General features: G+C 39.3%; 1 protein-coding gene across 4 annotated transcripts in view, besides 5 other annotated features; it reads right to left on the bottom strand.

The window, feature by feature from the left end:
• FLT1 (fms related receptor tyrosine kinase 1) overlaps positions 1-22,133 on the bottom strand; it is a 194,783-nt gene that overhangs the window by 126,773 nt on the left and 45,877 nt on the right. For all 4 annotated transcript variants that reach the window (NM_002019.4, NM_001160030.2, NM_001159920.2 and 1 more), the window contains exons 4-10: positions 11,103-11,227; positions 6,940-7,102; positions 6,701-6,837; positions 4,018-4,192; positions 2,932-3,049; positions 634-803; positions 41-200 (exon numbers count right to left, since the gene is read on the bottom strand). In NM_002019.4, the coding sequence (NP_002010.2) occupies positions 41-200; positions 634-803; positions 2,932-3,049; positions 4,018-4,192; positions 6,701-6,837; positions 6,940-7,102; positions 11,103-11,227 (1,048 nt within the window). The remainder of the gene's footprint in view (positions 1-40; positions 201-633; positions 804-2,931; positions 3,050-4,017; positions 4,193-6,700; positions 6,838-6,939; positions 7,103-11,102; positions 11,228-22,133) is intronic.
• Positions 2,769-3,168: an enhancer, noted in NCBI's record as "active region_7514". NCBI's record gives its function as "activates an Ori minimal core promoter by ATAC-STARR-seq in GM12878 lymphoblastoid cells {active_cell/tissue: GM12878}" and the evidence as "EXISTENCE:reporter gene assay evidence [ECO:0000049][PMID:35858748]".
• Positions 3,188-3,847: an enhancer, noted in NCBI's record as "OCT4-NANOG-H3K27ac-H3K4me1 hESC enhancer chr13:29004443-29005102 (GRCh37/hg19 assembly coordinates)". NCBI's record gives its function as "activates a minimal SCP1, AML or CMV promoter by ChIP-STARR-seq in primed H9 embryonic stem cells {active_cell/tissue: H9 hESC(primed)}" and the evidence as "EXISTENCE:reporter gene assay evidence [ECO:0000049][PMID:30033119]".
• Positions 9,447-10,389: an enhancer, noted in NCBI's record as "H3K4me1 hESC enhancer chr13:29010702-29011644 (GRCh37/hg19 assembly coordinates)". NCBI's record gives its function as "activates a minimal SCP1, AML or CMV promoter by ChIP-STARR-seq in naive H9 embryonic stem cells {active_cell/tissue: H9 hESC(naive)}" and the evidence as "EXISTENCE:reporter gene assay evidence [ECO:0000049][PMID:30033119]".
• Positions 11,389-12,173: an enhancer, noted in NCBI's record as "OCT4-NANOG-H3K27ac-H3K4me1 hESC enhancer chr13:29012644-29013428 (GRCh37/hg19 assembly coordinates)". NCBI's record gives its function as "activates a minimal SCP1, AML or CMV promoter by ChIP-STARR-seq in naive H9 embryonic stem cells {active_cell/tissue: H9 hESC(naive)}" and the evidence as "EXISTENCE:reporter gene assay evidence [ECO:0000049][PMID:30033119]".
• Positions 12,959-13,743: an enhancer, noted in NCBI's record as "NANOG-H3K27ac-H3K4me1 hESC enhancer chr13:29014214-29014998 (GRCh37/hg19 assembly coordinates)". NCBI's record gives its function as "activates a minimal SCP1, AML or CMV promoter by ChIP-STARR-seq in naive H9 embryonic stem cells {active_cell/tissue: H9 hESC(naive)}" and the evidence as "EXISTENCE:reporter gene assay evidence [ECO:0000049][PMID:30033119]".

Consider the following 22,133-nt stretch of genomic DNA (forward strand, 5'->3'; position numbering starts at 1 on the left):
AAAGTATTTGAAAGTTAGTAAAAAAACTGACTGTCCCTACCTTGCTTCGGAATGATTATGGTTACAGGGGTGCCAGAACCACTTGATTGTAGGTTGAGGGATACCATATGCGGTACAAGTCAGGATTTGTCTGCTGCCCAGTGGGTAGAGAGCCGGGTCTGGAAACGATGACACGGCCTTTTCGTAAATCTGGGGTTTCACTGGAAAGGAGATGAAGAACGGGACAGAAGTCAAGAGCAGTTCTAATGACTTTCTCCTGGGCCACACATGAAGGACCACATTCTCACTGGCTTTGATGTCAGGGAAACAAACAAGAAACAAAAAAACAAATAAACCCTCCTATTTGTCAAGAAAATGCAGATTTTTAAAAGTAGTAGCAGGGTTTTGAGATTATTAATAATTTGATTCCATGGTATGTACATTGTGATTACAGTGATAAAAGATCATGCCGCCTATGGAATACAACAAACAAACACGAGATTGTTAAGATGGGAACTTAACGTTAAGTGTTTTTTCAAATGATTATTTGAAATTTTGCTATCTTTGATGTTGTTACGCTGATTTTTGAATTCATAAATGTTCACTAATTTGTTGCCTACCAGAACCAGAAGAAAGTATGAACAGCAAACTTACCATTGACAATTAGAGTGGCAGTGAGGTTTTTAAACACATTTGACTGTTTTATGCTCAGCAAGATTGTATAATTCCCTGCATCCTCTTCAGTTACGTCCTTGATAATTAACGAGTAGCCACGAGTCAAATAGCGAGCAGATTTCTCAGTCGCAGGTAACCCATCTTTTAACCTGTGGTTAAAAACATGATCAGTAAGTCATTTCACACGGCCTCTCAATATCACTTTGATAACACGGTCATTGAAGTTTTTGAGCTCAAGTTGACCAATTTCAAACCTTTGATCATCAGTGTTGATTTTTAAAATGTAGGCATTAACTTTTGAGTAAAGGCAGATATGATTTTTAGACTGGGTAACACTTCATATTTATTGGCAAGGAAGAAGAAATAAAGCGAGCGAAGATAGAAAAGCAGTAGCTTAGTGTGCCCACAGGCATACTGGTGGCCACTGTGACTTAAGTATTAACCCAGAAGCAGGGGCTCTGATTCCATCCGAGATGTTTTTCAGAGTTTTCCACGAGGCTCCATCAGCAGTATAAGGGCCATTGTAAGTCAGATCAAGTAGATCACTTCTCCAGATAAAAATAAAAATAGACTTTTCTATTGTGGTCTCATGTGGAGTTCTTATTAGTTTTATAAATGGTCACACCAGTTGTCCCTTTCATAAACTAGAGTGAAATCAAGACTATCAAGATTTTTCCTCTGAGGAAGAACAGTTAAGGCACAGAAAAAAAAAAAACAGAAAGCATAAACTTAAAGAAATTTTAAAAACGTATTAAATACTGAATCGATGCATTGATATCACTCTGTTGCACACAGAACTGAGAGTCAGAGGCTTGGGTGCTTGACCTGGCTCTGCTACTCACTGCAGGCTGCTGCAAATGTGACTAACCAGTTTGGGCTCCAATTTTCTCAAATTTTCTAGAGGTTCTCAAAGTTTCCTTATAACTCTAAAATTCTATGATTTCATTAAAATGCATGGTTCTTTAAATAGGCAGTTTTAATCCATTAGGAGTTTCTTGTGTTCTGTATAAAGGTTTAATATTGGGAACTTAGTTCATTATCATGCATGATTATAAAGTCCTACAAACAAATTCCCATTACTAGTGTGTCTCAGATCCAAAGTAATTAAAATGAGGATGCTACACTTTGTGATTACAAATATTGTCTTGGTATTACTTTAAATTATTTCCTACAACAAGTCAGCATTTTTGACGGTGGATTGAATTTTTTTTTAATGCCCTTGCTACTTAGTTACTGAAGAAATCAACACTAACAGATGAGCGTGCCCTCAGACACTGGAAGAGTGAATGTACCTCCTGGAGTCATCAGATTACTATTCAATTTACTATTAAACCTAAAAATTTACTACTAAACGTTTTTGATATTCTGAAGCAAAAAAGATCATTTTTCTACTGCAATGGCATGAAGACATAGCACAAAGTTAAAATTTTCTCTTTAATTCCCTATTAAGTATTTGAGGGAACTGCAAACAAACACTGCCCTCATATGACATTGAAAGCCAAATCAGCTCTGGTTAGGGAGATTCTAAAATGGCGCCACATCCCTATTGTATGGATTGTTTTGCTAATCAGTTTTGTACTATACCCTTTGTTTAAAATGTAATGACTTGAGCCAAAGATATTGGCATTTAACAGTAATTTTGTAAAATGATTGCAGATCATAAACAGATTACATTGTTTTACATCAGGTGTTGTACCAGTGTTTTAAAAAACAACTGCTGAAGGAGGTTTTGAATATGTATCTTTCTAGCCAAAAAAAACTTAATTAGTTCAAATAGGCCCCATCGTCCCCCTCTTCAAATGAGTAAGTCTTGTCTCTATTAATGTTTGTTTAATTTTAAAACAGGACTGGAACTTTCAACCCAGCTGTATATAAAAGAATTATTTTCAGCATTCTCATTACAAGAGCCCACTTCTTCAGGGTTAATAGAGCATGTTACATATTCAAAATGCTTCCTAGTCATTGCTCAACACATCCCATTCAAAGAATGTTGACATCATAGGAAGGTTTAGAGATGCAGAAAGTTAGCCACAGTAAGAGACTAGACTGAAGCGAGCACTCAAACAAACCTCATCTCTCGCTTACCTTGCTACATTATTTCCTTTTCCCCAGCCCTTCTCACCTCCACCACCCAAGAATCTACAGAGTTCTGAGCTCTCTGGGGCTGTCTGAGGAACGTCTCTTGGTATTTTGTCAGGAATTCGAGTCATTAGGCTCTTGCAGCTTCCCACTTACAAAGTATGTCTTAAACTGTTATGGAAATAAGGATGGTCCTACCATACAACTTCCGGCGAGGGAAATGCCTTCACTTTCATAGAGAGCCGGTAAGACCGCTTGCCAGCTACGGTTTCAAGCACCTGCTGTTTTCGATGTTTCACAGTGATGAATGCTTTATCTTTGAAAGGAGAAGTGATACATACATTAGAAAAGAATAATTTCCATAAACAAAACCTTAGGGCCTCATTCAGGGAGGGTGTAATCAATGAGTAAATAAACAGAGCTGAATTATGATAGAGCCTATCAATGAGCCCAAATGTTGATCATGAATAGGATACTTTAAAAGCACTGTAATTGGTGAACGCCTTTCAAATCAAATGGTATCACGTCCTAGCCACATAAAACAGTGGCAGAGCAACAGAAAGTGAAACACCTTAAATATCTCTATCACAATAACAAAGAAGTGGGAAGATATTTCTAAAAATCTACCTGGCCACTATAAGCAAGGTGAGAAAAAGTTGCTCTGTACACCCTAAAACAACCAATTTGATATCAAAAATCAACTGGAGAAAGACAAAAGGAAATAAAGGCTACTGATAGAATTGTTCCATAGTTTCTGCCCTCCACACTGTTTCCTTTTCAGCAATGGAAATAAGGTCTTTAAGCATTTTCTTTATAGAATTTGCATACTGAAATTAAGCAACAGCATTAGGATTCCTTGAGAGTAAAAGCAGGAATAAAATAGCATTAATTCTAAATGATTTAGCATACCATATTTTTATTTCTCTAATTCATGGTAGTACCTGAGAAATTTTTCTTAGATAATAAAGATAAAACTCATCATCTTTTTCTGTTTTGTTTATACAGAACACTAAGAATTTCATAAATATATTAGGTTCTAACCGAATTATTAGCCATAATAAGCATCTAAAGAAAGGACTCTCTGTTCAATTCAAAAGTATTAAATGTAAAGAGTACTTAATGTGGTTTGCTTTTTGACAGGGGGAGGAGGGAACCATGGCCAAGCTGTATTCATTCATGATAATGTAACTCTTGGCCAACAGAAAACTGACTTATTTAGAGAACACAGACATCTACAATGATTAGAAAGCATAGCATGAGTTGGCAACGCTGAACTATGCTTACCATATATATGCACTGAGGTGTTAACAGATTTGAATGATGGTCCACTCCTTACACGACAAGTATAAAGTCCTTTGTCTTTGTTCTGCATTTTGTCAATAGTAAGAACACTGTAGAATATGTTGGCATGGGAATTGCTTTGGTCAATTCGTCGCCTTACGGAAGCTCTCTTATTTTTCTAGAAAGAAAATGTATAACAAATGTAGAAGGAGTGAGTGTTCATGCTTAAAGTTATATAGGATTTTAACATTTCTTAGATCATTAGTTCGACAACAGCTTCTGTTTTATACTAAGAATCATGTCAAATCCACCTAGAGCGTAATGTTTGGAAACTACATCTGTGTCTAGAGGTGCTTCAAATATGTAGCATAGCAGGATTTATTTAGCACTTAATTTTCTTCAAATACACTTTCACATATACTATCTCAATTGTTTGTCCCAACAACCTAATGAGATTGGCAGGCTGACTGCCCTTTTAGTGATGAAAAAACTGAAGGAAGTGATACCCTGGCCCAAGTTGGCTAGGAACTGAAGTTGTTTGAGCATAAATCTAGTGTCCTTCCTCTGGCACACACACCTCTCTACACAGTAACCTGTTCCCTAGGCATAGATATCGCACACAAACGTGGACAATCATAAGCCTTAGTTAGTGTCTGGCTTAATGACAGTGCTTCTCTCACCAAATCACCATGTGAGTTTCCTTTTTTGTCCCTACGAGATATGAAGGAAAATATAATGAGTCTTGGCTGTACTTACTAAGGTGGAATAATGCTATAGTTTCATTATTTCACTATTTGAACAGTGCTTGCCCATGTCAGCTAAATCACAGTAAATGGATCTTTAACCAAGACTTGGAAGGTGCTGTCCCAGGTTTGTCTCAGAGAAGATCAAGAATTAGCCTTAGGCTCTGCAATCTGACCTGGCCACAATGACAGTCCTGCTCACTGTTTTGAGAAGACAAGATCACATTGCCGTCTCCTTTTTTTTTTAAGCACTATATTTTATAACTAATAAGTTATTTCCACCTCTCAATCCTTCCCCATAGTCATAGGGGGCGGAGGGGAGGAGCATGGAAAAATGTCTTTGGGAGCTGTCCAGAACTGATTTTTGGATCTTGAGCTTAGTTCTCCTCTGTGCCACGTTTAATACACTTCTACCCACCTGTCCTTTTACTTCCCCATTGGAACAGACAGACACATGTTGAGGCCATTTTCTTCATTCTCAGCAATAACCAGAGAGAAAAGTCAATTGCCACTATCAAAAGTCAGAGAACTAGTCCCCTAACGTAACAGACTGAGGGAGCTTTCTGCAGCTCTATTTATACAGGTACTACTTCCTTTGCCAAGCTGAGTAACACTGGTATTGCTTCTGACTTGGGAAAGAACTCATCCTGTGTTTTAGAATTGCTTCGCCCAGTACTGCAGCCACCAGCCACGTGTGGCTATTAAAATTAAATGAAATCAAAAATTCATTTCCTCAGTCACACTAGTCACATTTCAAGTGCTCATCTGCCATATGTGGCTAGTGGCACAGTACTGGAGCACAAATACGGGATATTTCCATCACAGAAAGTTCTGCTGGACAGTGCTGTTTTAGAAGATTATTAGCATTTAATAGATGTGTTGTAGATACTCTTACTTACAGCAGCAATGCTAGCAGGATAAAAGTTTCTTCCCTCTTGGCACTTACGGAGAATATTTGATTTCTATTAAAACCCAGAAAATATTGCTACAAGCCATAGCATTTTTATTTAAATGAAACAATACCTCTCCTAGAGAATAGTTTATGACTGATAAGTCCTTAATGTGTCCCTACAGGGCACTCGTTACACGTTTTTGTTGCTAAGTTATTCCATTTCCATGGCGAGAAATGTCGATGAAAAACAACACTAGCTTGAGGCTGATGCATTAATCTTTCATACATAATTTAATCATAAATTGACTTTGTAATTGGGCAATCTGAACGACATAACAAATGATTGTACTTGAGATATGCCGCATAAATCATGCTGACACACAAGAAATGGGGGCTAGAACTACTGTCAAAATTTCCGTAACAGTTTATCATAGTTTCCCCATCTATACATTTTTAAAACAATTATTGTTTGCAAGGATGTTCGATTTGAATAAGGGAACCCAACGCAGGCTTCATTCTTCTCATTTTTCTGAAGGACAGAATTGCTCCCCTGACACTTAACAAATGGAATATTGGATGGCTGGGTTGTAATATCTTTTCCAAACATGCTCCAATCAGGTGCCTGACTGTCTGCCAGTATCTTAAATGAATGCGCTGACAGAGACAGCCTCCTGGAAAGTTGTTGTTGTTGTTACAAAAGGCAGTCCCTGCCTGGCATTTGGTGATAAATTTCTCTCTCATCTCTAAATCCTACAGAGTAGTTTCCAAGAATGAAACAATCCCTTTTCTTCCACCTAGAATCATGCAATAGAAATACCAGTCTACACTCTTCAAAACAAAACCCCCAGACATCAAAAGACAGTATCTATGCATATCACACTCATGAAATGCCAGGCAAAGAAAGCACTCAAACCAAACCCAAAGCTTCTTTATTGACTAACACTGCCACAGGAGTCAGGATTTTCTGATTTTTCCCATCTCAAAACCCCTGCGGGATTTCACTTGCTTAAAATACTGTCCTGCAGAAGAAATAGAAAAATGGGTCACTCACTTCATCAGGGTAACTCCAGGTCATTTGAACTCTCGTGTTCAAGGGAGTGGTAGCAGTACAATTGAGGACAAGAGTATGGCCTCTAAGTAATTTGACTGGGCGTGGTGTGCTTATTTGGACATCTATGATTGTATTGGCTGCAAGCATAAGAGAGAAATTTTTTAAAATTAAGATTTCATTACACAGATAAAAATACAGAGCACTTCGGCTTATGTTCATGCCTTTGAAGCATCACTTACTTTGTCGATGTGTGAGATAGTTTGTCTTATACAAATGCCCATTGACTGTTGCTTCACAGGTCAGAAGCCCTATTTCTTTGTACGTTGCATTTGATATGATGAAGCCCTTTCTACTGTCCCAGATTATGCGTTTTCCATCAGGGATCAAAGTGTCAAGTGGAAACTGAAAAGGAAGAGGCATGCATTAACAAGGTCCTATTAGCACTGGTTGGCAATACTGTTTCACCAGCAGTTTGTGAAAACATGATTTTTCATCTAAAATGAAAATAGTAAAACTTTGTAGTTTGCTTATAACAAACTAGGTTAAAAACTCTAGTTTGTTATAATTGGTTCTTGAGTTTTTTTGCATATAGCAAAAGATATTTGCATTATGATAAATTATAGTAATTATGATAATTTACTATCAGCCTTGGCAACAAGTGGCATCTACCCAGGATAGACCTACTTGTCATGTCAGACTTTCAGTTGGAGCCCATAACTCTTTGGCCTCCGGGAATCTTCATAATAAGCTGGTCAGACACTCAATAGACAAACCAATTAAGAGGCCGGGCGTGGTGGCTCACGCCTGTAATTCCAGTACTTTGGGAGGCCGAGGTGGGCGGATCACCTGAGGTTAGCAGTTAGAGACCAGCCTGGCCAACATGGTGAAACCCCGTCTCTACTAGAAATACAAAAATTAGCTGGGCATTGTGGCAGGCGCCTGTAATCCCAGCCTCTCGGGAGGCTGAGGCAGGAGAATCGCTTGAACCCGGGAGGCAGAGGTTGCAGTGAGCTGAGATCACACCACTGCACTCCAGCCTGGGTGATAGAACGAGACTCTGTCTCAAAAACAGAGAGAGAAACCAATTAGCATTTTTTTTCTACCGGGGCTGCCAGATTATTCTCATTTGTTTTCATCATCCAGCGCTTTTAACAAGCCATAGTTTTTCCTCCCATTTTGCATAGTTTACTGAAGAAGTGGCTGTCTTCAAAAGAGTGTAAATAATTCCAGGTCCTCCAAGATTCATAACATTAACTCAGCACTCACTGGGGCTGTCATTCTGACGATCCTGCTGTGTCACAAGGAAGGCATCAGCTCTGCCTCTGGAAAGGAAACTCCCAGAAGCTGAAGCTGCTGATGGTGAAGGCAGCCTCGGAGGCCAGAGACTCTGCAATGAATGAAGTGCTCTCTAATGCTCAGAAGTATTCCCAAGCACGGTGAGTCCAAACAGAAGAAAATAATCCATGATCTGACTTTCTCCTTATGCCTTCTTCTGACATCAAGAATGTAACATTTAAAGACTACAAGATAAACACTCTGCCTTGGGATTAAACTTTATTTATAAAGGGTCATTGCTCCATAAAGTGGCCCAGCCAAATTCCCCTGATGCCAGGTTGCCAGCCCAATTTCAGTGGTGGTAGACTCCCAACTACCACTATTCCTTATTCCCAGTTGAAAAAGGGGGAAAAAAATCAAATTACCTTCCCCCAACAGATTATAAAGGAAATACCAAACAGCCACAAAGAAGCTCGAAACCTTTTCTATCGCCTTTTAAAAAGTACACCTGGCATCCCTCGCTCTATCCAGTTATCATTTATTTCTATTGCTTGCTGAAGGCGCTGATCTGGATTTGTGATCCTATGGCAGAGATTTCTAGTCCAGAAGCCACTAGTGCCTCTCTTCCAGGGACTATGCCTACATCGGAATGTATTACCGGTGTTCCTTGGGTTTGAAATTAATTACATCCTGTTTATGAAGAACTGAAAGCAATTAAAGGATTCGCTTTCATGTTTCAGTAAATCAAGGTGCTACCTGTAAACTCAGGAATGCAGTCGGTGGGAAAAAAAGAACCTTCTCTTCTAATTTAGTGCAAGCAAAGGAAAAACCCAGAAAAATTTAAGTCAGGGACTGAAATCTATGGTACTTTACAAATAAGTGAAAACAAGCATGTGCTGAATCTAAAAGAAAGGATTGCTGACAGACGTCCTCAGTACAACTTAAAAATACACTAAAATTTCCTCCGAAGTGTTTCTCTTACTCTCATCTATCCATTACGGCTGTTAGTAGCATTCCATTGACAAAGTAACTTTACATTTAGCTGACAAGATCTAAAGCAGTCAAAGACTGTAGCCCATCAGCTGTGGCCACCACCGCATGTGTAAGAATGAAGGCAGATGGGCAGGTGGATCTCAGCCTCGAAAGGAAGCCCTGGGCAGCAAGGCCTGTCTGCAGCTGACCATGGCTCCGACAAAGCAGGCATGTGAAAAGGAGAGGGAGGGGACAGAAAATTAGAAGAAAAGGGACAATAAGAGAAATGAAAGGGAAAGATATTAACTTCATGTCAGCAGAAATACGTCATAGGTTAGAATATTTCCAGTATATATGTGCCAAACCAAAATCCCTGTGAAAATTTTACACTTCTCTTTCTCTCTTTTTAAATTGTGCACTCCAGATCGTAGGCAGAAAAAACAGTAAATAGACTCCCACCAGCCCCAGATTTTTATATGGGAATTTTGGAATGCTCCTGATGACCAAACAACCCATCTGCATTAGCGCTCCCATGAAAGAGAACGTTTCCCTCTCCACGTGGTGTTTTCCATATTAATCATACAGCAATAATTATCTCAGACTAATGGGAGTAATGCCATGCTATTGAAAACATGACTTGGTAATATACCAAGTACAGTATTGGGTGTTAAACTGTTAAATAATGCTAAAGCTAACCCTTGAATAGGGCTGATCTTGTACTTAGATACTGTTCTAAGTGCTTTCCATATATCACCTGACTTAAGTTTTCTAACAGCAATGTGAGGTGGTACTATTGTCATTACCCCCTTCCTCAGATGGGGAGAGTGAGGTGGAGAGAGGTTTGATAACTCATTAGTTTGCCCAGTGACAAGTGCAGTATGTTCAGAGTGCAGGCAATGTGGCACCAGCCTCTGCTCTTAACCACACTTGTCTTCCTCCTATATGAACTAGACCATTCAAGAAGGATGGCAGGAACACTGAATGAGAAGGCAAGGTATTGGCTCAAATGCCCAGTATGACCTGCGAAGTTCCTGACACTCTGGAAACCAGGGTGTTTTTATCTTGACCAACTGAGGAGTTCAACTCCTCTGGCGTTTCCAGCTCTGCTGTATAATGACTTTCTATTTCCTGGCGATGGCACACAAATGTAGTGGAGGCCAAAACCTGTCTCTGATGGACTATGTTGAAGGCCTACGTGAGTAACAACCCAGGAGAGTGAATGCAAGGAAAGAGGATAAGGAGAATCCTCCACCACATTTCAGGACTCAGGGTTGATGGGTGAGACTGAACATCATTCTCTGAACTTTTCCAGCCTAACTGCCACAGCTACCAGCACCAAACACTTCCTGAGTGCCTGCTCTGTGATGCACTGTGCGAGGTGCTGCTCTGGGGCGGACTTGACTTTCTCTCTTAAAGTTCTAAGCTCTCAGAACTTAGCACAGTTTTCCGTTTGGGGAGCTTTTATCCAGTTCTGAGTCCTGGTATACTCCTAACTCTTACTGCTGATTAATTAGCTAGAATGTCATAGGTTTAGTTTTTGTCTTTATTAGATTCTACCCTAAATCTTTTACCTTTCCATATGTACAATTTACAATATAGTATGAAGAAAAGTTTCACGTATGGCCTTCTTTCCTCCCTTTTTCCCTAAGAGATGAAGTTTGGGTGCTCAGCAGGAGACAGGCCTTTTATCACAAGGAACTTGCCAATTCAAACCAAACGTGCTGGCTCCTTATGCATGAAGCCAGAACATATCGATGCCTGGAGAACTGGGCACCCTGCTGACATTCTGTCTTCTCTGCAGTAATCTGGATAATCCACTCTCTGCAAAGTTATTAATTTGTGTAAGCAGCAGAATTGATTTTTCTCACATTTGCACACAGTTGGGTTTGTGGCAATACATAACATTTTTCACGATTTCAGTTCTTTCATTATTCACATCGATTTATGCTTAAGACACCATCATTTTATTCTATTTAACCACATGCATGGACATAACTTCTAGCACTATTCCTTATAGTAAAAGGATGTTACAGGAAAGTCCACTGAGAAGCCCAGGTGTTTGTAAGGAAATTATTCCAGAAAGATAGAACGAGTAAAACTTCATTATGCTTATTTGCAGTGAAAGTATGCTGAGAATAGCGGTGTTCAAATTTACCTTTTTTAAAGTAACAGTGATGTTAGGTGACGTAACCCGGCAGGGAATGACGAGCTCCCTTCCTTCAGTCATGTGTATAATTTCGGGGATTTCACTGTACATCTCTACGAAAGGTCTACCTGTATCTGAATGAGAAGAAAATGAAAAAAATATATACATAAATGATTGACATGCAAGCATCTAGACACTGTAGCTAGTGTGGTATGGTAGGCATTGCCACAGTCACGTCATTCTCCCTTAATGTAATCCATACATTCACATCTTTGTCTCTGAATTTGGCCCTCTGTGTTTCTACCCAGAAAAAGAAAGCTTCCCTAATAAAACCTAATTTCATATCTGTTGTTGGCCTCTGATCAGATTGCCCCAATACCTTAATATGCAATGTGGTATGGGGGGACCACTGTGGGAAAAAGCCTAAAAGTGCAGTAGGAGAGAAAGGAGAAAATTCTGCATAGACTTCTCACCACAGCTATGCTAAGTGCCTCAGGAAGCGCCCTCCAGAGCCTTTGTAAGTGCTCAAAGGGCATAGATGCAGTGGCGAAGGTCAACTCTCTTTGGAGAATTCAAGGTGATGCAGAAGTCTAGCAAGTTGAGGAGAGGATTATCATTTGAATGACAGAAGCATGACTTAAAGGTTTTCTAGACTTTTCCTCGGAGGCTAATAATAATGAATGAGAAGGTCTGAGCTGCTTAGGGGGAGGCGGACAGGCCGGAGAAGCTGTGTTGAATGCTGCATTTATTTCATATGTATATTAGGCTTATTTCTTTAGTATGCGCTACTTACCTGCTAATAGCAAAGTCTGTGCAAGTGCCTGCAGAGAAGTCTGGAAAAGACTTTAAGCACCAATACTTCCTTAAAAAGCGTGGCATTTGGCCAGTCTCAGAGGCAAGGAGGATTCAAACACCTGTTCAGCTTCCCTGTAACTCCTCAGGGAACCAGAATGAGTCCAAGATCCTTTTAGAAACATTCTCAGTCTACCCTGCCCTTGCCCTCGGGAATCTATTGACATCCTCAGGCAACGATCTCTTCGGGAGTCATTGTGTTCTGATCGTCCCGCATTTGTTCCAGCCTTATATACTAAATGGAAAGAAGTCCTGTGTGAACTCTCTCCATTTGGACCTGAAAGAACCAACCAGGCCCCCACCTGCTTGCTGGTCCTGCCTCAGGTTTGTGGATTACGAAGCTAATTCAGGATGCTGAATGGAGAAGGAATTGGAGAGAAACAAAAGCAGTAAGCAGGCAATGGTTGCCCAGACTAGATGGTGGCTACAGTGATCATTATGGTAGAACTGTGTCCCCACCAAAACGATATGCTGAAGTCCTAACCCCCCTGTACTTCTGAATGTAACCTCATTTGAAAACAGGATTGTTGCAAATGTAATTGCTTAAGCTAAGTAAGGGAGGGCTCCTCATCCAATGTGATTAGCATCCTTGTAAGAAGGCAGTCATGTGAAGACAGACAGGGTGTGCAGACTCGCACTATGTGCAGATGGAGGCAGAGACAGGTGTGATGCAGCGGCAAGCCAAAGAATGCCAAGGATTGCGGGCAACCACCAGCATGTAGGAAGAGGCGAGGGAGGGTTCTTCTGCAGGTTTCAGAAGGGGCATGGCCCAGATGATTTGATTTCAGACTTAGAGTTTCCAGAACTGTGAGATAATACATTTCTGTAGTTTTAAGCCAAAAAAGAAAAAAAAGTGGGCCATTGCTGTAGCCTGCTGAAGATGGGATAGTTTTCTGCACAGCAGTGTGGAATGGAGGCACAGATGTGAGCTCTAGAGAGACCCTTTCACCACAGCCCATCTTGTGTGGTCCCTGGCACCTATATGTTAATTATTCCCACTCATCCTCCGGGAAGCCTTGCTAGCCCCCTTCCTTCCTGCACCCTTCTCCACCCTAGCCCACATTAGGGACTTTCCCAGTGTTCCCATTGATTCTGTTACAACACGGTCCACAGAACCAGCAGTTTTTTTCTCTGGGTACTCCTTGGATGCTACATTCCTAGAGGAGAGGAAATGGATTGTATTCATGTCTGTCTCATGTGTACTGAATGAATGAGTGAACGGGTATCCAACCCCGTCCTTTTACAGATGAGAAAAGAGGCACAAACAGGTGAAATGAGTTGTCTAGATGGGCACAGCCAGGCCTGTAGGCCAGTTACTTCTGCCTCCAATCTAGAGCCCCTTCCCTGGCGGCACCCTGAAGGCTGAACCTCTGGCTACGTTCTCTTGAAGGCCCCCATAGAAAGGGCTGCCAGCAGGTGACAATGGTTTTTCAGAGATGAAGGCTGATTTCCACACATTCAGTGGGAAAGTAAGTGCCTCATGGTACTGCATAGTGTTGGAGAAATTCTGAAAAAGGGCTGAACACCAAGGCATGGTGTGTGAGAGCAGGCTTTGGGGCAGGCTTTGAGTCGGAGGGAGGTGGTTCAGAGTACGCCTCAAAGCCTGGGTTTAATCCTGGCTGTGGTCCTGTGTAACTGTGAGACCTTGGGGAAATCATTATACCCTCTGTGCCTCATTTGTAAAATCTAAGTGAAAGGGCTATGATGAGGATTACATGAATTAATATATGTAAAGCACTTAGAATGATGCCTGGCAAATAGTTAGCTGTTAATTTTCTTATTATTATTATGACTCATTTGAACTTATGAACAAAGTGTTAGAGTTGGCAGTTAGGCAGACATGAGTGGGACAGGAGAGTGCCCCTCCTCCCAAGAATGTCAGGTGACCATCAGGTGATGGTCAGGTGGTTATTAAACTGTCTTTCTAAAATAATAATTAGTCACAGCTGGCACCAGAGACCGTCTCCCAACAGATAGGAAACACCTGAAGCTGGTGATCAGCAGCTTCCTGATAAGATCTCAGAAGTTGGGGGAGCAGGCTCAAGCATGCACACTCAAAGGCAAAATGGCACAGTTTAACCGGTATATGACTTTCCTCTGTGAATGCTCAACTGGTAAGGGAAAAACACCTCAAGTGAGCACAAACACAACTTCAGTAAACACAGTGCGCATGTGGCTCCTCCCAGGTGCTGGCAGGCCACTGTGCATGTGGACAGCCCATCCCAAAGGAAAAATCAGGGGAAAATAAACACAAACCCTTGAATCTCTCCAGTTGCCTGCTTGGCCCTCTGCCAAGTGTAGTTTGCTTCCTCTCATTCCTGCTCTAAAACTGTTTAATAAACTCTCGCTCCTGCTCTAAAATTTGCCTCAGTCTCTCCCTCTGCCTTACACCTACTAATGCCCTTGGCTGAATTCCTTCCTCCAAGGAGGCAAGGATCAAGTTGCTGTAGACCCATACAGATTCGCTGCTGGTACCAGTAGGTAGATATGAAAATCACAAATTATACTCATCATCTTAACTATCAAAAATATAAATATATATTGATATAGTGGCATAGGAAAAAGGATTGGAAACAAACATACTAAAATTTTAAGAGCCAGGTGCAGTGGCTCACACCTGTAGTCTCAGCACTTTGGGAGGCTGAGGCAGGAGGATCACTTGAGGCCAAGAGTTTGAGACCAGCCTGGGCAACATAGCAAGATCCCTTCTCTGCCCAAAAAAAGTTAAAAATGATTATCTTTGGGTGTTGGCTTTATGGATTATTGTTGTTCTTATTTACCTTCTTCTATATTTGTCAGTCTTTCTAGAATGATCATGCATTATTTTATAGTAATATTTTTAATTATTAAAGTTAAAACTCAAATGATAAAGCTCCATCCATTTTTGCTTAAGGAAAACTATAAATTTTGCATTTGATTTACCTGAGTTTCATCCTCTATAATAGAATGAGACATTAACTGTCACAGTTAATAAACTTATGTGTTTATTAGGAAATCTCAGTGGGTGTAGTAACATATGCAGAGAGAAAAAGTTAATCAGATAGACACAAGGGTTTCTTATCAGAATTAAATTCTTCCTTTAAATAAAGTTGCTGAGCTAGACATTCAGCCATGGACTATTGGGATTTGATCATTCCTTTCCTTCCTCTTGTGAGTCTATATTTTTGTCTCTTTTGTGCATCCCAAGGTAAACACAAACACTAAGAAATGGTTTAATTCATTTAACTAAATTGTAAATCCTTCATATTTAATTTACTGTCTCCTTAAGCAACTGTTTTCAACAAAGGACACTGGCACAAAAAGTTCCTACAGGAGATAATAAAATCAGTGTAGTCATTTCTAGACTAATGAATACCAATCCCAAATGAAAATAGAAAAGGTTAATTCAACATATCTTTGAATTTCTTCTTTCCCTTTGGTACTGTGGATCCCCAAAAAACTTAAATTTTACTACAGCTATTGGCCTCTAAAAGCCAATACCAATTTCAGCACTGGGTCCACTGAAATTCTATCCGAAGATATCAGAACTTCAGTGATTTGTGTCCCTCCAAACACTATGCAAAACACATTATTTGTGTGACAGTCAAAAGTGGCATTATAAATCCACTGTGTTTGCAAATGAGCATATGACTGTAGATACACACACACACACACACACACACACACACACGAACACACGAACAATACTCTCTGGGCTTATTAATAGTATATTTCCTCTGCAATTTACTTCAAGGAAGGGCTAAGAATGAATTTGCCTGACATATAATAATACAAACATATTTTGTTTTGTAGGACCATAGATATAGAAGAGGTCACGGTTCCATTAATATCACCAGTAAAACCACTTACTACTCCCGTAGGACACATCTGTCTTTGTCACAAAATTAAAAATGACTTCCAATCCCAGCCAGCACTGCAGAGTGATTTCCTGAGACCAAATTGGCTGGTTGTTGAAAGAGTGAGGAAGAGCTGCTCCAAAGACTGCCGGTGTACTGGCAGCTCAGACACACTGTCACCAGGGACTCATGCCAACACTCAGCTAGGTGGAGGTCACACTGCCCTCACCTCTCTGAACTCTTAGAGCTCAAAGCAGTGACAGGAAACTGGCATAGAATATGAGGTTTTCTCACCCACTGGGAGTATCTGGGCTGTCACCTATCCTTCAGGACAACAAGTGGGCTCAGACACAGAGAAAGATCAAACAGGGACCCTTGCTCAGAATGGAACGATGTCTATTTTTTAAATGTGTTTTTTCCTTTTGAAATCTGTAATCATGCTGGCACATTGAAGCATACAGACATAGTGGCCCCTGCATGTTATCCTCAATGGATTCCATTTCCAACTGGCATCACCTGGGAGCTCTGCTGTGTTCAGAGCAAGTAAACAATGTTCAAAATTTAGGACTTGTGACTTGAAGAGGAGTTCAAGAGTAAACACATTGTTTTCTAGCACATGTACATATTTATGGTTTTTACAAAGTTTTTCCTGGTTGCCTTTCTTTTAATTGCATTTTTATCCTGGTCATGAGGACATCTAGTCATTTTAAAGGAGGGTATGATTTTCATTTACTGAAGATGAAGGGGAGAGGATAAAAAATGAATTAACCAATCCCATGAAAAGGGTTCTATCTAGACATAAGAGTTTTCACATCACACAGATCTTCATATTGTGGACCGTAAGTAATACTCAAGGAGAATGTACTGATTGGTAAAATATTTTATTTGAAATATGAGCAAGAAAAGAAAACAGGCAGGTTCTTCCATGACTTACACTGCCTATCAAAGCCACTGACAACTCAAAACAGAGCTTTGGAGCAACCACAAGAAAGTTGGAGTAGTTATACTAACATCAGACAAAATAGACTTTTAAATAAGAAATTATTAGTGAGGAAATGGTTAGTGAAGATAGAGAGGGGTGTTTGATAATATTAAGAGGGTCAATCCTTGAGGAAGATATAACAATTAAAAACATATATGTACCTAATAACAGAGCACTAACACACAGGAAGCAAAACCTGACAGAATCAAAGGGAGAAATAGACAGTTCAACAATAACAGGTGAAGATTTCAATACCCCACTTTCAATAGTAGATAGTGGGCTAGGCATAGTGGCTCATGTCTGTAATCCCAGCACTTTGGGAGGCCAAGGCAGGTGGATCACTTGAGGTCAGGAATTCAAGACCAGCCTGGTCAACATGGCGAAACCCCATCTCCACTAAAAATACACAAGTTAGCCAGTGTGGTGATGCACGCCTGAAGTCTCAACTACTCGGGAGGCTGAGGCAGGAGACTGGCTTGAACCCAGGAGGCAGATGTTGCAGTGAGCTGAGATCACACCACTGCACTCCAGCCTGGGCGACACAGCAAGACTCCACTTAAAAAAAAAAGTGGATAGAAGAACTGGACAGAAGATTTTAAAAAGCTAGTAGAACACCAGAACAACACTACTAACCAACTATACCCAACGACATCTATAGAACACTTCACCCATCACAGCAGGGTATATATTTTCCTCAAGTGCACATGAAACATTCTCCAAGATAGACCATATGCTAGACCATAAAACAAACCTCAATAAATTTAAAAGGATAGAAATAATACAAAGTATGTTGTCTGAATACAGTGGAATGCAATTAAAAATCAATAACAGAAATAAATTTGAAAAATTCACAAATATGTGGAAATTGACACATCCCTAAATAATCAATGGGTCAAAGAAGAAATTTAAAAAGAAATTAGAAAATACTTTGGTATGAATGTAAATGAAGACACAGCATACTAAAATTTAAAATTTACGGGATGAAGCTAAAACAGTGTTTAGAGGGGAATTTATAGCTATAAATGCTTATATTGATAAAGAAGAAACATCTCAAATCAATAACCTAAACTTCCACCTTAGAACATTGAGTAAAGAACAGAAAACTAAACCTAGAGAAAGCATAAGGGAGAAAATAATAAAGATTATAGTAGAAATTAAAGAGAATGCAAAACAACAGAATAAATTAGTTTCATTAATTTTCTAAACCAAAAGCTGGTTCTTTGAAAAGACAAACACAACTAATAAACCTTAAGCCAGACAAGCCAAGAAAAAAAGAGACAAGACTCAAATTACTAGATTCAGAAATGAAACAGGGCCAGGTGCAGTGGCTCATGCCCGTAATCCCAGCACTTTGGGAGGCTGAGACGGGTGGATTATCTGAGGCAAGGGTTCAAGACCAGCCTGGCCAACATGGTGAAAACCCATCTCTACTAAAAATACAAAAATTAGCCAGGCATGATGGTGGACTCCTGTAATCCCAGCTACTCAGGAGGCTAAGGCAGGAGAATCGCTTGAACCCAGGTGGCAGAGGTTGCAGGAGCCGAGATTGTGCCACTGCACTCCAGCCTGGGTGACAGAGCTAGACTAAAAAGAAATGAAACAGTGGACATTACTATTAAAATTATAAATTAAAAAGCATTATGAAGGAATATTATAATTATATGCCATTACATTAGATCACAGATGAAATGGATAAATGCCGGGAAAGACACAAACTACTGAAACAAGCTCAACAAGAATTAGACAACCCAAGCAGACTTTTAACAAGAGATTGAATTGTAACAACAACAACAACAACAACAACAAGCTGCTCACGAGGGAAAGTCAGGGCCCAGATGGCAAGTCAATTCTACCAAACATAAAGAACTAATACCAATTTTTCACAAACTTTTCCAAAAAATAGAAGAGAAGAGAAAACTTTCCAACTCATTCTAGGAGGCTAGTTTTACTCTGATATCAAAATCAAAGACATCACAAGAAAATGACAAACCAATATCTATTACGAATATAGCTGCAAAAAACTCAATAAAGTACTAGCAAACTGAATTCAGAAACATATAAAAAGAATTATATACAATGCCCAAGTGGGATTTTTTTCAGGAATGCAAGATTGGTTTAACATCCAAAAACCAATGTAATTACTATATCATGTCAATAGAATAAACATCAAAACCCACATGACTATCTTAAAATGGCAGAAGAAGGATTTGACAAAAATCCAAGCTCCTTTCGTGATGAAAACACTCAGGAAAATGGGAATTGCACTGAATTTCCTCAACCTAATAAATGGCATCTAGAAAAAACCCTACGTCTAACATCATATTTAATGGTGAAGCACTGGAAGTTTCCCCCTAAGATCAGGAATAAGACATCGTTGTCCACCCTCACCGCTTCTATTCAATAGTGTACTAGAGGTTCCAGACAGAGCAATTGGGCAAGAAAAATAAATCCAGATTGGGAAGATCAAAATGGTACAGGTATTTTGGAAAACAGTCTCTGTTTTCAGATGACATGATCTTACAAAATGCTAAGGAATCCACTAAAAAACTACTAGAATTAATAAATGAGTTCAGCAAGATTGCAGGATACAATGTACAAAATGAATTATATTCCTATACATTTGCGATGAACAATCTGAATGTGAAATTAAGAAAACAATTCCATTTATAACAGCATCAAAAAGAATAATGTGTTTAGGAATATATTTAACAAAAGAAATGTACAACTTATACTTTGAAAACTATAAGACATTGTGGAAAGAAATTAAAGAAGATCTACTAAGTGGGAAACATCTCATGTTCATGGATTAGAAGACTTAATATTGTTAAGATGTTAATGTCCCCCAAATTGATCTACAGATTAAATGCAATAACTGTAAGAATCCCAGATGACTTCACAGAAATTGACAAGGTGATTCTAAAATTCATATGAAATTGCAAGAGACCCAGAATAGACAAAACAATCTTGAAAAGCAAAAACAATCTTGGAAGACCGCACTCCACATTTCTTGATTTCAGATGAAAACTACAATGATCAAGACAGTGTGGTGCTGGCACAATGGATTAGTGGAATAGAATTGAGACTCCAGAGATGAACCCATGTGTCTATGGCCACTTGATTTTCAAGGAGACCATTCAGTGGGGAAAGAATAATCTTTTCAACAAATGGTGCTGGAACAGCTCCACATGCAAAAGAATGGAGTTGTACTCTTATATCACACCATATACAAATATTAACCAAAAACTGCTAACTATAAAAAATATATATTTTATAGTTATATAATATAATATATAATATATTATATATTTTATATATATTTGCAAAAGGGTCTCACTTTTCTAGGCTGAAGTGCAGTGGCAGGACCATGGCTCACTGCAGCTTCAACATCCCAGGCGCAAGTGATGCCCCCACCTCAGCCTCCTGAGTAGCTCAGACTATAGGAATGTGCCACCACACCCAGCTAATTTTTTTTTAAAAATTTTTTTGTAGAGATAAGGGTTTCACTATGTTGCCAGGGCTGGTCTCAAACTCCTGGGCTCAAGCAGTCCTCCTGCCCCGGTCTCCCAAAGTGCTGGGATTGCAGGCATGAGCCACCACACCTGGCCTAATACAATATTCTCAGAAGAAACCAGAGGTAAATCTTCATGATCTCAAATATGGCATTGGATTCTTATATATGATACCAAAAGCACAAGCAACACAAGAAAAAATAAACTGAACTTTATTAAAATTTGAAACTTGCATGCTTCAAAGAACACTGTGTAGAAAGTGAAAAGGTAACCCAAAGAATGGGAGAAAACATTTGCAAATTATATATCTCATAAGGGACTTAAATCTGGAATGTATAAAATATATTTTTATATGCCTCAAATATATTTTTAAAATCTACATATATAATATATAAACATATGTTTAGAATACATAAAAATCTAGATATATTATGTATCTATATATTATATCTCTAGAACATATAAAATATATTATAATATACAATTGTATGAAATAATAAAAAGTTGAAGAACTCTTACAACTCAGTAATAAAGACAAGCTAATTAAAAATGGGAAAAGGATCTGAACTGACATTTACCCAAAGAAGATAAACAAGCAGGGAATAAACAAATGAAAAGATACTTAACATCATAAGCCATCATGGAAATACCAATCAAAACCACAATGAGATTCACTGCATACCCACTAAAATGGCTATAATAAAAAAGACATAATTACAAGTGTTGGCAAGGATGTGGAGCAACTGGAACTCTCATCCACTGCTGGTGGGAATGTGAAGTAGTGCACCCACTTTGGAAAGCAGTCTGGCAGTTCCTCAAATTGTTAAACATAGAGTTACCAGATGACCCAGCAATTCCACCCCTAGGTATCTACCCAAGTGAATGAAAACTTGTGTCCACACAAAAGCTTGTACACAAATGTTTACTGTAGCACTATTCATAATAGGCAAAAGGTGGAAGCAACTCAAATGTCCATCAGTTGATTGATGGATAGCTAAAATGTGATATGTCCATACAATGGAATATTACTCAGAAATAGAAAGAAATCAAGTGCTGATACATGCATGATACATGAAAGAACCTCAAAAATATTATGCTGAGTGAAAGAAATTAGTCACAAAAGACTACAAATTATGTATTCTATTTATATAAAATATCCATGAGACAAATCTATGGGAACAGAAAGTAGATAAGTGGTTGTTTAGGGCTGGGGGGATAAGGGGTGATAGCTAAAGGCTATGGAGTTTATTTTGAGACAATGACATATTCTAAAATTGACCGTGATGATGATGGTTGCATATATCTGTCAATATGCTACAAACCACTGAATCATCATTTTAAATGGGTGTGGTATGTAAATTATATCTCAATAAAACTTATTTTGAATTAAAACAGAGGTTTAGTCTCTTTCTTAGAAATGATGATCCACTGTTTCCTGAGCTGGCTGAGCTGGAATGGTTCCCAGAGATCTCCCAGGGTAAACTCCTCACCTTATGAGTCTTTGCAGCATTTCTCTCCCATTCCCCTCCTGCATCCAGTTTAGGCCACTCACAAAAAATAAAATTTTCCCCTGTGATAGAACCATCATGATTTAAATATGTCTTTCAAGGTTGGGTGCGATGGCTCACACTTGTAATTCCAGCACTTTGGGAGCCCAAGACAGAAGCATTGTTTGAGGCTAGGAGTTTGAGATCAGCCAGGGCAACACAGTGAGACCCCATGTCTACAAAAAAATTTTAAAAATTAGCTGGGCATGGTGGTACACACCTATAGTCCCAGCTACTCTGGAGGCTAAGATAGGAGGATCAATCGAAGCCCAGGAATTCAAGGCTGCAGTGTCACTGCACTCTGGCCTGGGCGA

Source organism: Homo sapiens, chromosome 13 (genome assembly GCF_000001405.40).
Source record: "Homo sapiens chromosome 13, GRCh38.p14 Primary Assembly".
Taxonomy (NCBI): domain Eukaryota; kingdom Metazoa; phylum Chordata; class Mammalia; order Primates; family Hominidae; genus Homo; species Homo sapiens.